We start from the raw sequence: 14,782 nt of genomic DNA on the forward strand, positions 1-14,782 counted from the left end.
ACCGGTCCACAGGGTACTCAGATCAAACATGATTCTGGGAGTGTTTGTGACAGGCATGTGTCTGAGCGTGGGGAAATGTCTCTGTGAGAGGCATGTGTCTGTGAGTGGGGAGTGCGTGTGTGTGTGTGGGGGGGGGTGTCTGTGAGGGGGAATGTGTGAGGAGGGAGTTTGAGGAGAGAGTGTGTGTGAAGGAGGACTGTGTGTGAGGAGGAAGTGTGTGGGGGGAGTGTTTCTGAGGAGGGAGTGTGGGGGGGGAATGTGTATTAGGAGGAAGCGCATGTGAGGGGGGAGTGTTTGTGAGGAGGAAGTGTGAGGACAGAGTATGTGTGAGGAGGAGTGTGTGTGAGCGGGAGTTTGTATGAGGGGGAGTGTGCATGAGGGGGAGTGTGCGTGGGGGGGAGTGTGTATGAGGGGGAGTGTGAGTGGGAGCGTGTATAAGGGGGGAGTGTGTGTGAGTGGGAGCGTGTGTGAGGGGAAATGTGAGGATGTGTTCAGGCGGAAGTATGTGAGTATAGTGGGTGAGGAGGGAGTGTTTGTGAGGGGGAGTGTGTGTGAGGCAGAGTGTGAGGGAGTGTGGGTGAGGGTGTGTGTGTGAGGGGAGTGTGAGGGGGAGTGTGTGTGAGGAGGGAGTGTTTGTGGGGGGAGTGTGTGTGAGGCAGTGTGAGGAGGTAGTATGTGTGAGGGGGAGTGTGTGTGAGGGGGAGTGTGTGTGAGGAGGGAGTGTTGGGGAGGGAGTGAGGGGGGACTGTCAGTAAGTGGGGGGGTGTGAGAGGTTAATGTGTGACGGGAGTGTCTGTGAGGGGACAATGTGTGTAAAGGGGGAGTGTTTTTAGTGGGGAGTGTGTCTTAGGGGCAAGTGTGAGCGAGTGGTTTGTGTCTTTGTGGTAATTTCTGTAAGGGATCAGCATTTGAACTGGGAGACTCAGAAAAGCAGATGTCCTGCCCAATATTCGTGCCTCTCATCCAATTCTTGAAGGCCCGAATAGAAAAAAAGGCAGCAGAAGGTTCAATTCTACCTCTCTGCCTGACTGCTGACCTGGGACATCGGTCGTCTTCTGCTATTGGTTGCCTCTGGTTTCAAGCCTTCAGGCTCAGAGTGAAATCTACACCAGCAACTTTCCCTGGGTCTGTAATTTGTAGAAAGAAGACCATAGGATTCAGCCTTCATAACTGCTCCTCTTTTTGTTTTGTTTTATTTTGTTTTGTTTTGTTTGAGATGGATTTTCACTTTTGTTGCCCAAGCTAGAGTGCAGTGGTGCAACTCGGCTCACCGCAACCTCCACCTCCTGAATTCAAGCAATTCTCCTGCCTCAATCTCCAGAGTAGCTGGGATTACAGGCGCGCACCACCACGCCTGGCTAATTTTTTGTATTTTTAGTAGAGACGGGGTTTCACCATGTTGGCCAGGCTGGTTTCGAACTCCTGACCTCAGGTGATCCATCCACCTCGGCCTCCCAAAGTGTTGGGATTACAGGCGTGAGCCACCACACCCAGCCCAGTTCACTTTATACACACACACTCACACACAACCTTGCCTTCTGGTTTCTCTGCAGAACCCTAATACAAGTATCTCACACACACACACACACACACACACACACACACCCTTCCTACTGGTTTCTCTGCAGAACCCTAATACAGGGTATGAGACCACAACTTTTGGAAATCACTGCTTCACGAATACTGAATTCTGATTTTTCTTAGATTCATACGTGTTCAATCCATTCCCTTTACAGAATAAGAAACCCACAGGGAAGTTAGGAAGCATGCCCAGCATTAGCCTGACAGCTGTAACAGAAACAGCAAGTGTACCCCCTTTGCTGCGACCCACAGATGAACACGTGCATGGACACACATGTCCCCTGTTTGCACTGAGATACTTCCAACAGCTAGTTTTCAGAAAGATTGGGGTGGGGTGGGAAAAGTAATCTTATTCCAGGGCCTGGAAGGCAGGAGCAAAAGTTGAGTTGCTGTTTTCCCTCCCATGCACCAAAGATAAATTTGTTAACACTGTAGCTCAATAGGATGTCAGTGTTCTTCAGCCTCAAGTTGAGGAGACAGAAAGGCTGGGTTATGGCCTTAGGGGGCTACATTGAGATTTTTCACTTTCCTTATTCAATAGGAAGCAACCCTCTGCACCAACATGGACATCCTTGCTGACTTCATCACATGAAAACACAGTCGGCGCTTCATCAGCAGTAATTTAAAGCAGATCCAAGGAGGCTTTTAATAAGTTAAAGGGCTCCTGACATGCAAGAAGCTGTTAAATGTAAGTCAGAGGTACCTCTTTTCTCTTTCTATAAAAAATGTGTACTAAAAAATGTGTATAAAAAATATTTCCAGGGAAAACCAATTCCAATTCTATCCAAAAAAGTTATTTTACTCACAGCTTCTTTGCACGGCCCTGGTAAGGGACCTGGCTGTGAGAATGGAGCATTGCTGCCACGACTCAGCCCTTTCCCAGGATGCACCTGCTGACGCTCACCACAGACACTGTTTCCTCCCGAACGTGATGACAGTGGCTGCCACCTAGGCATCTGCATCGCTGTCTTCAAGACTTTGGAGTTCTCAAAGGTACAGGGGGGAGGAGGGGTATACCAGCCACTTCCATATTCAACTTCCAAAAGCTAGAGATGTCAGTTAAATAACCCCACACGTGCTGACAAGGTTCTGTCGAGGACCCCAGGCTTTCTGTCATAGTAGGCCAATCTCATTTCAAAAGCGGCAGCAAAACCACACCTATTCCTAACAACAGCAGAGCACAGAACTGAATTAAGGATGCTGATTATCAGCTAAAAGGTTCCAAGAGAAAGACCGAACTTGGGGCTTTCCTGACAACCCACTCATTTACTAAGCATCTTCTACAGCATACACAGACATAAGCCCCTTAAAATCAGAGTACGTGAGAATACTTTTCATTTGGAAATAAATCCCATGATACACCCGTATAGAATACACTGACTATACTTAAACACTTTAAGCTTCATCACCATGTGGGACACTATGGAATTAGCTAAATCCGTTCTTGAAGGTTAGTTTCCCTAAGGAAAAATGCTCTCTTCAGGGAAAAAAACTTGGGCGGAATACATTACTGAGATGTTACCAAATCAAAAAAAGTGAAGGGTACATGTGATAATATCAGATAAGGTAGCATAAAAATATCACTACGCCATGTTACATAATCTCGAAAGGATATACACACATAAGATCAATGAGGCTAAGTTAAAATATTGTCGTTATGATTAAGGTAACTTATCTCTACAAAACACACATCTCAACAAGGAAAATAAAGAAAAATGGATATGGTGAGATTTTAAAACTTCTTCATGCTACTTTTCTGACTCAAAGAAAGGGCAACGCTGCAGTGACTCCCACAGGATGAGGCTCACCTGGGATGTGACAACACACTGGGCTGTGGGGGTCTGCGTGGGAGGCTACTGCCTGGGAAAGTCCCAGGCAACATGAAGTTGATGTCTCCCAGCACAAAAAACACCCTGGAGCACCCCCAAAATGTACTCATCCCAGTCCCAAGTAGAAGAATCCACACAAACCAGGAACTTCGCTCATGCTGAAGCCACGTGCCCTGGAATTGATTTGTGTTGACTGCCACAATTGATTCAAGTGAAATTGATTCACAACTTGAAGCAGAGGAAAAAACTAAAAGCAGTGCCCCTTTCAAACAGCAGTGCCCACCACAACTGTTACTCCAAGTTCTGAACTGTGCTGTGGAGGACCTGGAAGTGGGTTTTCTCCCCCTTAATCATGAAAATAGCTGACGTTTGTGGTGGCTTTCAGCACAGAAGTTCCTTTTGGATTCTTACTAAAGATGGGTAGATCGAACATAAGCATTTACCTCTGCTACCCGCAAAACCCAGTAAGACACGAAATGCTTTTTTAAAAAGGCATAGACCTGTAAGAACAAAGTGGGAGAACAGATACTAGCACGCATATTATAAAAGGGGAAATCAGACAGAGCAGTCTCTGTCTCTGCATACTCAAGGAAAGCCAAACCCTAAGCTGGGGGAGCAATCCCACAAGGAAAAACACATCCAACTGTCCCCAGGCCCAGGGACAGAAGTGGGTAGCACCAGCTAGGCTGAGAATGGTGGTAAATAAGGGAAAATCACTGAGTCTGTTCAACTACGCTGAGAATGGTGGTGAATAAGGAAAATCACTGAGTCTGTTCAGCTACGCTGAGAATGGCGGTAAATAAGGAAAATCACTGAGTTTGTTCAAAAAGCAGTTTGACTCATTCATCATGAAATGCAAATTAAAACTACACTGAGATACCATTTCTCACCTATCAGATTGGCAAAAATCCAAAATCTCAATGACATACTCTGTTGGCCAAGCTGAGGGAAACAGGCTTCTCATGCATGGCTGATGAGAGGCAAAATGGTGCAACCTCTAGAGACAGGAACTAGGCAATTATGCAAAAAAATCACAAATCCACTTCCTGTCCTCTAGCAATCTCTTTCATTACTCTATCCCAATTATATACCAGTGAAGGCCTGAGAAGAAATACACACAAGGCTGTTCATTGCGGTACTATGGCAAAAGCAAAAGTGAAAACACCCAAAGTCTCCGCAAGGCACTGGTTAGATAAATTGCTTCATGCACATAAGGGAGCACCAGTCTGCTGTGAAAAAAAATGAGAGCTCCATGTTATGTTACAGGTTGAAGAGGTTTCCAGAATATATTAAGCTAAAAACTAAAAAAAAAAAAAAAAAAAAAAAAAAAAAAAGGTAAAATACAATGTATCTGGTATGTTTCCATTTGTCTAAGAAAGGATGTTAGTATAACAGGCCTCGCTCTGTCACCCAGGCTGGAGTACAGTGGCACCATCATGGCTCACTGCAGCCTCAACCTCCCGGGATCAACTGATCCTCCCACCTCAGCCTCCGAAGTAGCTGCAATTATAGGTGCGTGCCACCACACCTGGCTAATTTTCACACTTTTGTATTTTTTTGTAGAGATGGGTTTTGCCATGCTGCCCAGGCTGGTCTTGAACTCCTGGCTTCAGCGATCCACTCGCCTCGGTCTCCCAAAGTGCAGGATTACAGCTGTGAGCCACTGTGACTGGGTGGAGTACAGTGGCGCAATCTCAGCTCACTGCAACCTCTGCCTCCCAGGTTCTAAGCGATTCTCCTGCCTCAGCCTCCAGCGTAGCTGGGATTACAGGCATGTACCACCATGCCAGGCTAATTCTGTATTTTTAGTAGAGATGGGGTTTCACCATGTTGTCCAGGCTGGTCTCGAATTCCTGACCTCAGGTGATCCACCCGCCTCGGCCTCCCATAGTGCTAGGATTACAGGCGTGAGCCACCACGCCCGGCTGGCCTGCTTATTTTTTAATAGAAGAATAAACCATACATTTTTAAAAAACATTACCTATTTTGGAAATTCAGAAATATGTATTATTTGAATATACCTTTTTGAAAACTTGATGTTTGGTACCATATAAATATAAAAATATAGACAGATTTTAAAAACAACACCTACAAATTGGTGGTAAAACTAAACAAATATATCTGATTATGTATCCAGCTGGGGGCAGAACAGCCATACAGAAAGAGCTGTGTTTGTGTTCCCTAAGGGGATATACCCCTAAGGTCAAAAGAACTGCAAAAAAATCTTAAACTGTTTCAAGAATCACATTGATGGTGGCAGTGTTTGCAATGTTACTCTTAGACTACAGTGAGTGTATTGCTGAACCGAATGAGTAATCACATTGGTGTCACTGAGAACTCAGACTTTTGGCTCAGTTAAAAGGATATAAACAGCTAAGACCAATGAGGTTAAGTTAAAATTCTCAAGTCCTAAATTTGAACTGGAATGATCAGTATGAACTCACATGTTTATCCCCAAAAATTTCATATAACTATATTATCATAAAAATAATTCATGCATACAATTATATGCATAATTTTATATATGTATACTTTTTAAATGTATACTTATATAATCTTCTAGCTCTGATTACTGAAAAGCACTAGAAACAACGGTCAATGACCAACCCGTTAGCAATAACACTCCTAGAGGCCAGATCATGGTCTCCAACTGCCATTTTCCACTCAAACCATAAGTCCTCGGAGAAACAGTTGATTCTAGGTCTAGTGCACGAAATGTACAAGAGGAGCCTGGGACTACTCAACACATCAGGAAGCAGGGAGGCTCCCAAAAACTGCTTGGGTCACATTATGAGGACTACAGGCCAAACTGAATGAGCTCTCACTGGCCAGAAAATATGGGCTCCAATAAGGACAATAACTACGATGGACTGAAACTCATCAAATGACACTAATTTTAACAATTCTCATTCGTCGCTTTTTGAAGATGCTCACTATTTTTGAATACTGGTAAATAATTCCCCTCCTTTCCTATACAATCTATACAAGGGGGCAAGCAAACCAAATATTCCAGCTGATAAAAAAGAAATATAATTCTCAGAGTATGACTTTTTGCAAACTTTTATGAATTAACAGATCGAGGTAATTATCATCAATAGCTAATAACATCACAAAAAGAGAGGCTATTGTGAGGTAGGTACATCCTAAGGGAGGAGCCAATATTCCCTATGAGGAACCCTGTCAAACAAAAACAAACCTGAATTTAATCAAATTGAGAAGTACAAACTATGATAAAGATTTAACGACAACTCTCAGGAAAAACAGAGACAGAGTAACGTGTTAAATGATGCTGCAAGGATGCAATCAGCACCTCTGCAAGCCCACAGGACAAACACAAGTGTACAAAACAAGTACCAGCAGTATTTTAAAACGACGGAGTGGAATCCACAAGAAACATAAGACACTTGGTATATAAACCTTATTTGGATCTCATTCAAGCTAGCAAACTGTAAGAACAGATATCTACTGAAGAATTTGAGATATGGGATGATCTTACACAATTTTTATCATAATTGCCTATTAACATAGTTAACATCTTACTTACATAACTGTTTTTAGATGTAATAGCGGTACTGTGGCTGTGTTTTTATTTGATATCTGAGACTTGCTTCAAAATCAGCCAGTGGGTGGGCAGTGGATGAAGGTACAAATAAACCTGTCATGCAGCTGATAAATGTTCCACCGTAATAAAATTAAGAGAAAGTAAAGGTGTAAACAGAGCCTCAGATCCCCATGCCCTCTCTGGTAGGCAACTAGAGATTTATTTTCCAGGGCATATGAGATAGAGGCTCTCTGAACTGAGGGTGCAGCACCATACTGAAAACAGGGGGTTAGTAAACACTGACACTGTTGAATAAGAAGAGTCCGTACCTCTTTCCCCTCACTCTGCACCCAGAATACCGGCTGCTAGGTCGACACTTCACCAAGCAGGAGATTGGAACAAAAACAATCTGGCCAGCCCAAGAGAAAAAGACTTAAAACTACCAACAGGAAGAGTTTTCTGATTAAAAGATCTAACCAGGCTACCCTATTACGACCATATAGTTGACATGGTCAAGAGTTTCATTCTGTTTTTTAGTGCCCTGATCTTAAAAATGAGCAAAGATGACAAGACATTCAAGGAACGCCTCTAATATGAAACAGAGAGATGAGATAATACAAGCTGGGAAAAGAGAACATGGAAGCAATGAGACTACAACAGAAGTTCCAGATGGAGAGAAAAAACAGAAAGCAAGACGGTGGTAAGGAAATCAGACAAGTAATTTAAAAAAATTTCCTAGAATGCAAAGATGTGACAAAGGGCACTGAGTAACCTGCATAATGTTGAAAAACAGAATCACCTCAGGGTACATCCCAGGGAAATTCAGATCAGTGGGTACAAGAAACAGATTCTGAAAGTTCCAGATAAAGAGGTGGGGAAAAGACTAAGGATCAAAATGGCATTAAACTTCTCAGCTGTTGAAAGATAAAAGATAATAAAACAATGCCATCATAAGTAAGAGGAAAAATTATTTCCAACCTAGAATTCTATACTAAGATAAACTAGCAAGCAAGTATAATAGCATATTTTTTACATTAAAGATTTCCCAAAATTAACTTTCCATACAACCCATTTCTCAGGAAGCAACTGGACCATGTGCACCACCAAAACAAGGGAGTAAACCAAGAAGGCAAAATAGATGCATCCAAGAAGATAAACTAAACGAAAAGCAACTTCCACTTCTGTTCAAAATGGAGTAACAAGGATTGCATTTAACTTCCCACTGTAACCAACTACAAAAATGGACAAAACAAGGCCAGGCACGGTGGCTCATGCCTGTAATCCCAGCACTTTGGGAGGCCGAGGTGGGTGGATCACGAGGTCAGGAGTTTGAGACCAGCCTGGCCAAGAGACGGGCCTGGCCAATATGGTGAAACCCTGCCTCTACTAAAAATACAAAAATTAGACGGGCACGGTGGCGGGTGCGGCTGGGGCAGGAGAATTGCTTGAACCCGGGAGGTGGAGGTGGCAGTGAGACGAGATCATACCATTGCCCTCCAGCCTGGGCGACAGAGCAAGACTCCAACTCAAAAAAAAAAGAAAAAAGAAAAATGGACAAAACAATTAAATAGCTGCTTTCAGACACTGGGTGCAAGCATGCAAGATTGTGAGCCCTGTGGTCACCCTGGCTTTCAACCAGAGGCATTTCTGGGCCATGAACACAGCGAGAAGGACCACACACAAAGCCTAGAGGTCTCACTAACTGGAGGAGATGGCGACCCAGGTTTGTGGGATGCAGAGGTGGCTGGAGCTGCAGAGGAGAAAGCTGGGGAGAAAAAGGGCTGAGGAATCTGAAAAGGGTAAGAGGCCATTCTTGTGTAAAAGCTAGATTTTAGAAAAACAAAACAAAACTATCAGGAAGTTGTAAGACAAACAGTTCTCAGAACTCACAGAAATATGCAGTGGTTCACGCCTGTAATCCCAGAACTTTGGGAGGCCAAGGCGGGTGGATCACCTGAGGTCAGCAGTTCAAAACCAGCTTGGCCAACATGGTGAAACCCCGTCTCTACTAAAAATACAAAAAATTAGCAGGACGTAGTGGCACACGCCTGTAATCTCAGCTACTCGGGAGGCTGAGGCAGGAAAATTGCTTGAACCCAGGCGGTGGGGGTTGCGGTGTGCCGAGATCACACCACTGCACTCCAGCCTGGGTGACAGAGTGAGACTCCATCTCAAAAAATAAAAATAAAGAATTCACAGAAATGTGAGACTCTAATCAGCCACAGCAATGTCCTTAGTCATTCCCCACGTCATTCAGCCAAGATCGTAGAGGGGCCTCACCTCAGTAGGAGAGCTGAACTTCTGGTGGAATAATGGCTGCTCTAGCGCTGACAGTTATGTTTAAAAACAGGCCTCAATACCACTTCACAAACATTGGGATGACTGTTATCAAAAACATAAAACAAAATCCCCAAAATAACTAATGTTAGCAAGAATATGGAGAAATTTAAACCCTCGTGCACTGCTAGTGGGAATGTAAAATGGTACAGCCACTGTGGAAAAGAGTATGGCAGATCCTCGAAAAATTAAAAATAGAACTACCATATGATCCAGTAATTCTACCTCTGGGTACATACCCCCCAAAATTTAAAGCACACCTCACAGAGCCATCTCTCCACCCATGTTCACTGCAACATTATTCACAATAGCCAGGAGGTGGAAACAAATCAAGTGTCCATGGATGGATGACTGGATTAACAAAGCGTGGACTAGCCATACAATGAAATATTATTCAGCCCTAAAAAGGAAATGCTGACACATGCTACAACAGATGAACCTTGAGGATAGTACACTGAGTGAAATAAGCCAGCCACAAAAGAACTAATATTTTATGATTCCCCTTACACGAGGTGCCTGGGTAGTCGAATTCATGAAGACAGAAAGTAGAATGGTAGCTGCCAGGGGCTAGGGGACGGAGGATGGGAGCTAGTGTTTAGGGCCACAGAGTTTCCGCTTCAGAAGACGAAAAATTCTAGAGATGGATGGTGGTAATGGTGGTACAATAATGTGAATGTACTTAATGCCACTGAGCTGAAAGTGTAAAATAGCAAATTGTTATATATATTCTACCACATTTTAAAAATACTTTTTATTAATATGAAAAAACAGCCTCAAATGAACCAAACTGATTCATATGTAACTACCTGCCAAAACAAAGCCCATAGCTATCCAACAATGTAACATTCATAATGTTCTAATAAAAAATTACTAGAATTATCTACTTTCAAGATTTTTCCTCTTCACATCATGGTGAAGTAGCAAGGGAGTGAATTTACCCTCCAGCCTGACCAAACAATAAACCACACAAATGTGAAATGAGTTTTCTGACACTGGATAACAGGCAGCAGGACTCAGGTTCCTGAGGGGACGAAACAAACGAGGTAGGTCCTACGATCACATCAGGTACTCTCTGGAAGCCGTTTCTAGGCAGGGAGGAGACACACAGGGTCTGGTGGCCTCATTATGTTAAGAAGAGAGAGACAGAATGGAGTTTGGGAAGGTCAAGAGAGCTAAAATCTACAGTGTAGGATACCCAAGAAAGGGAGCTAAGGAAAGAACCATTTAAAGATCTGCAGAGGGGTTCACTTGAGTCTTTGGCTGAGTTCTGAACTATGCAAACAGGAGAGAAACAACTAGACCAGGGAAAGAATCACCAGGCTGGTGTAGACACAATAGTTCCTGGAGACCACACAGGGCTAAGAACAGTTTACATACCCAGTAGCAAGACCAGAAGGACCTTGCAATGTATGGGAGAGTTGGCCAGTCTTTAGTACCCAGAAGGGTATTCCTTTACTACCCAGAGGGTATTGCTTTAGTAGTAGGAATAAGCTAGTCTTAGAGTAAAGGTTGCTCTATACCGACACTAACAAAGCTTAAAAGTAATCCTCAAAAGGATCCAACTGATTCCAGGTAACTTAACCATATGCCATAACAAACTCTAACACTGTTTAAAGGTATACAACAAAAGCCAGCAAACAATGATATAAAATTTATGATATCCATCAACTATTCAAAAATCTATTCAAAAATGTCTAGTAATTCAAAAATTACTAGAAACACAAAACAATAACAACGACAAAAAAGTAACCAATAGCTGGGAGAAACCAGAAAAGATATAGACCAGAAATGACTGAATGAACAGACAAGGACATTAAAACAGCTATTATAAATATGTAATATATGGTTTAAAAAGGTAGAGAAAAAAATGAACTTAATGAGGAGCTATTAAAATGACTCAAAAGTAGCTCCTGGAAGTGAAAAACACACAGAGGAAAAAACTGGAAAGAAATAAAAAGAGCACGAAGAAGCCACGGAAAATACCAGGCAGGATAACGCACATGTAATTGGAGCTAGGAAAGGGGAAGGTAAGGGAAAGGTTGTTGAAGAAATAATGGATGAAGATTTTTTTCTTTTTCGCCATTCGGAGTCAACTTTTATTGAGCACCTCCTATATTCCAGAACCAAAAACATGTTTGTTCCTTACAAAATTCTCAAAGCCACCCTTTAAGGTAAGTAAAAGTATGTTCTACTTAACAGATAAGAAAACTAAGAATCAGACTGATAGAACTTATAGAACTTCCTCAACATCATAGGCAGAAACATAATTATATTGACTGCCAATTTTAAGAAAACATCTATTTGTCACATTTGTGTCATTACTAAAATCTCTGCTTTTACAGTTTTCTTAAAATCATGTGACTATAAACAGCATTTTTATTTACATTACCATCACTTCTCTTTCCTAAGAGAAATTCTTTGTCTCCCTAAGATCATGACCACTTATGTATCATTTCTTGCTTATAAATTTTAATAAAATATACATAAGTGGGAATGTACAGTATTAAGTATTACTCTATTATTCTGGAATTTAACAATGAATAAGCACATATTTTAAAGGCCACACCTACTAAGAAACAGATACAAACTGTGATTTCTAAAATATATTTAAAATTAACCTATTAAAATATTTGGTTTATAAATATAACTGTGTAAATACAGAACGTTTAGCTCAGATGACTATGTACTTGATGGCTAGCCACATGTAAGTTACCGAAATACATATTCTTTCAAGTCTGAAGTACCTCTTCTAAGAACTGGGCTAATGGATGGTTCCTTAGTTTAGTTCAACTGGAATAAAATTACAGAAGTTCTATCTTGGCCAGGCACAGTGGCTCACGTCTGTAATCCCGGCACTTTGGAAGGCCGAGGCAGGTGGATCACCTGGGGTCAGGAGTTCGAGACCAGCCTGGCCAACATGGTGAAACCCCGTTTCTACTGAAAATACAAAAATAAGCTGGATGTGGTGGTGTGCGCCTGTAATCCCCGCTACTCGGGAGGCTGAGGCAGGAGAATCACTTGAACCCGGGAGGCAGAGGCTGCAGTGAGCCGAGATCAGGCCACTGCACTCCAGCCTGGGTTACAGAACAAGACTCCATCTCAAAAAAAAAAAAAAAGGTTTATCTTCCTTTCTATTACAGATAATATAACTGTAATATGTAACTACAGCCAAAAGGTCAAACACCACAGAATTCAATAAATATTGAAAATAATACATAGTTTAATATCATCAAATTCTAGCCAACTTCTAGTATTAAGTATATATTATCTTACAGAAAATGTGTTCTAATAGAAATATCTTAATAAAAAGGGAAGGGACTATAAAGAAGCAGACAATTAGAAATCTAGTAAGTGCTTATTTTACAAATTAGGGACTGAGGCACAATCATAAGTAACTTACCCAAGTCACATGCCAGTGGTAGAACCAGGACTGATTCCTGAATCTGACTTCTAGTCTGTGCTCTTTGAACACTTCTTTGTTTTCTCATGTTATAACTGAATCCTTTTATGTGCTAAATTTTAAATTGGAAAATTATCAAGTAATAAAACTGCTTTTCTCTCCAGCCCAACTCTCTGGTCTTTCTTAAATGAGCATTACAAGAATAGGATACAGTTCATAACTTCACAACACTCTCATAGGTTCATTAAGATGAGAACTTTATACAGGAAAAAGTTCACTTTACATGTAGTTTGGTTTGGCTGGAAAAAGCTTATTTAACAGCCATAGTTTTAAAACCTAGTTATTCTATATCATAGTGACTTCATATGTTGTAAAACGGTTTTCTATGATCTTGACATTTTCTTCAGATAGCCAGTTTTCCTGCTTTAGCTGCCTTATAAGAGCTTCCAAAGACTTCAATCTACCTAGAGTTTGTTGCTCTTTGAACTCTAGAAGAGTTATCTTTGAATGTAGCTTAGAGACTTTCTGCCAAAGATGCTCCTTATTTATATCTTGTCTGCAGTAAGAATGTTCTATTTGTAAAACTTCTGTCCCATAGTCTACATCCTTATACAAGGAGTCTTCGATGTCTATGTCTTCCACTTCCGTGGTTTCTTTTTGTGCAGATATAAAAGAATTAACTGAAAGTTTAGAATTTTTGGCAGGTACAAAAATGGCAATAACAGATTCTTTATTTGTGTTTAATTCTTCAACTGTTTGCTTAATTGTGCTGAATAAGAATGGATTTTCCTGTGCTGACTTTATTTCCATGGAATTACTTGTAAAGTTTGGATTAGCAAGATAACTAGAAGTTACTTCAAGAACTTCTTGGGTTTCCAAAGATTGATGAATACTTTCTGAATTTGAAATTGTCAAAGTAATAGTTGTAGAATTTAGATTATAAAAACATGTGTGAAAACCACCTACACCTGTATCTTGGTTAACTGATGTTTCCAAGGTAGATTCTGGTTTCCCAGTATGTTGTTTAACTAGATTAAGAGTTAACATGTTATTTTGTATACTTCCTGTTTTGGGAGCTGGTGGCTTTACCAAGGAAGATGAATGAAGTAATTCTGGATGTTGAGGGAGCACATTTGTGTTAACTATATTTTTCTTTGTCTCATTTAATACAACTGATTCTTCTGACTTGGCTTTTGGGCATACTTCTCATCTTCCAAGTTTTTCTTCTGGGATTTTTTTTTAGAAGGGTCTTTTCCCTGATTGTCTTCAGGCAAAGAAAATATTGTTGGAACTGCACTTTGTTTTAAATATCGAATACCCCATCTGATGTCAAGAGAGTCAGGAGTAAAATGGTCACTACACAGAAACTGGTATTTACTGGGAACCCATGAATCTCGCTTCATATTGTTTAACCACTTTTCCAGTCTTTCTTTGTCATGTAGAGGAAATGGATAAAAACTCAGCTTCCGGTCTTTATTGTTTCATCCCCGGCAGTTCTTACAACAAATCGCCGCGCAATAGCGGGGCATCACTCGGGTGAGGCCCTGGGAGACCGGGGCCGGCGACGGGTGCAGGGTGGCCCTCCTCACTGAGGCTCACCACAGGTCCAGAAGATTTTTCAAATTTGATAACTAAAACCCAACACACTCAACAATTCTAATGAAACCTAAGCAGAAGAAACATGAGGAGAACCACACCCAAATACATCATAATCAAATTGCTAAAAACCAGTGATAGGCCGAGTGTGTTAGCTCACACCTATAATCCCAGCACTTTGGGAGACCGAGGCAGGTGGATCACTTGAGGTCAGGAGTTCAAGACCAGCCTGGACAACATGGTGAAACCCCGACTCTACTAAAAATACAAAAATTAGCTGGGCTTGGTGGTGCATGCCTGTAATCCCAGCTACTCAGGAGGATGAGGCAGGAGAATCACTTGAACCCGGGAGGCAGAGGTTGCAGTGAGCCAAGATCACGCCACTGCACTCCAGCCTGGGATGACAGAGCAAAACTCCGTCTCAAAACAAAACAAACAAACAAAAAAGTGATAAAGAGATCATGAAGGCAGACAGAGACACGAAGGTGGGACTGGCAG

General features: G+C 41.7%; 1 pseudogene; it reads right to left on the minus strand.

The window, feature by feature from the left end:
• Nucleotides 1-12,728: 12,728 nt before the first annotated feature.
• On the minus strand, nt 12,729-14,298 carry THAP5P1 (THAP domain containing 5 pseudogene 1; annotated as a pseudogene).

The sequence above is a fragment of the Homo sapiens genome, chromosome 7 (genome assembly GCF_000001405.40).
Source record: "Homo sapiens chromosome 7, GRCh38.p14 Primary Assembly".
In the NCBI taxonomy this organism is placed as follows: domain Eukaryota; kingdom Metazoa; phylum Chordata; class Mammalia; order Primates; family Hominidae; genus Homo; species Homo sapiens.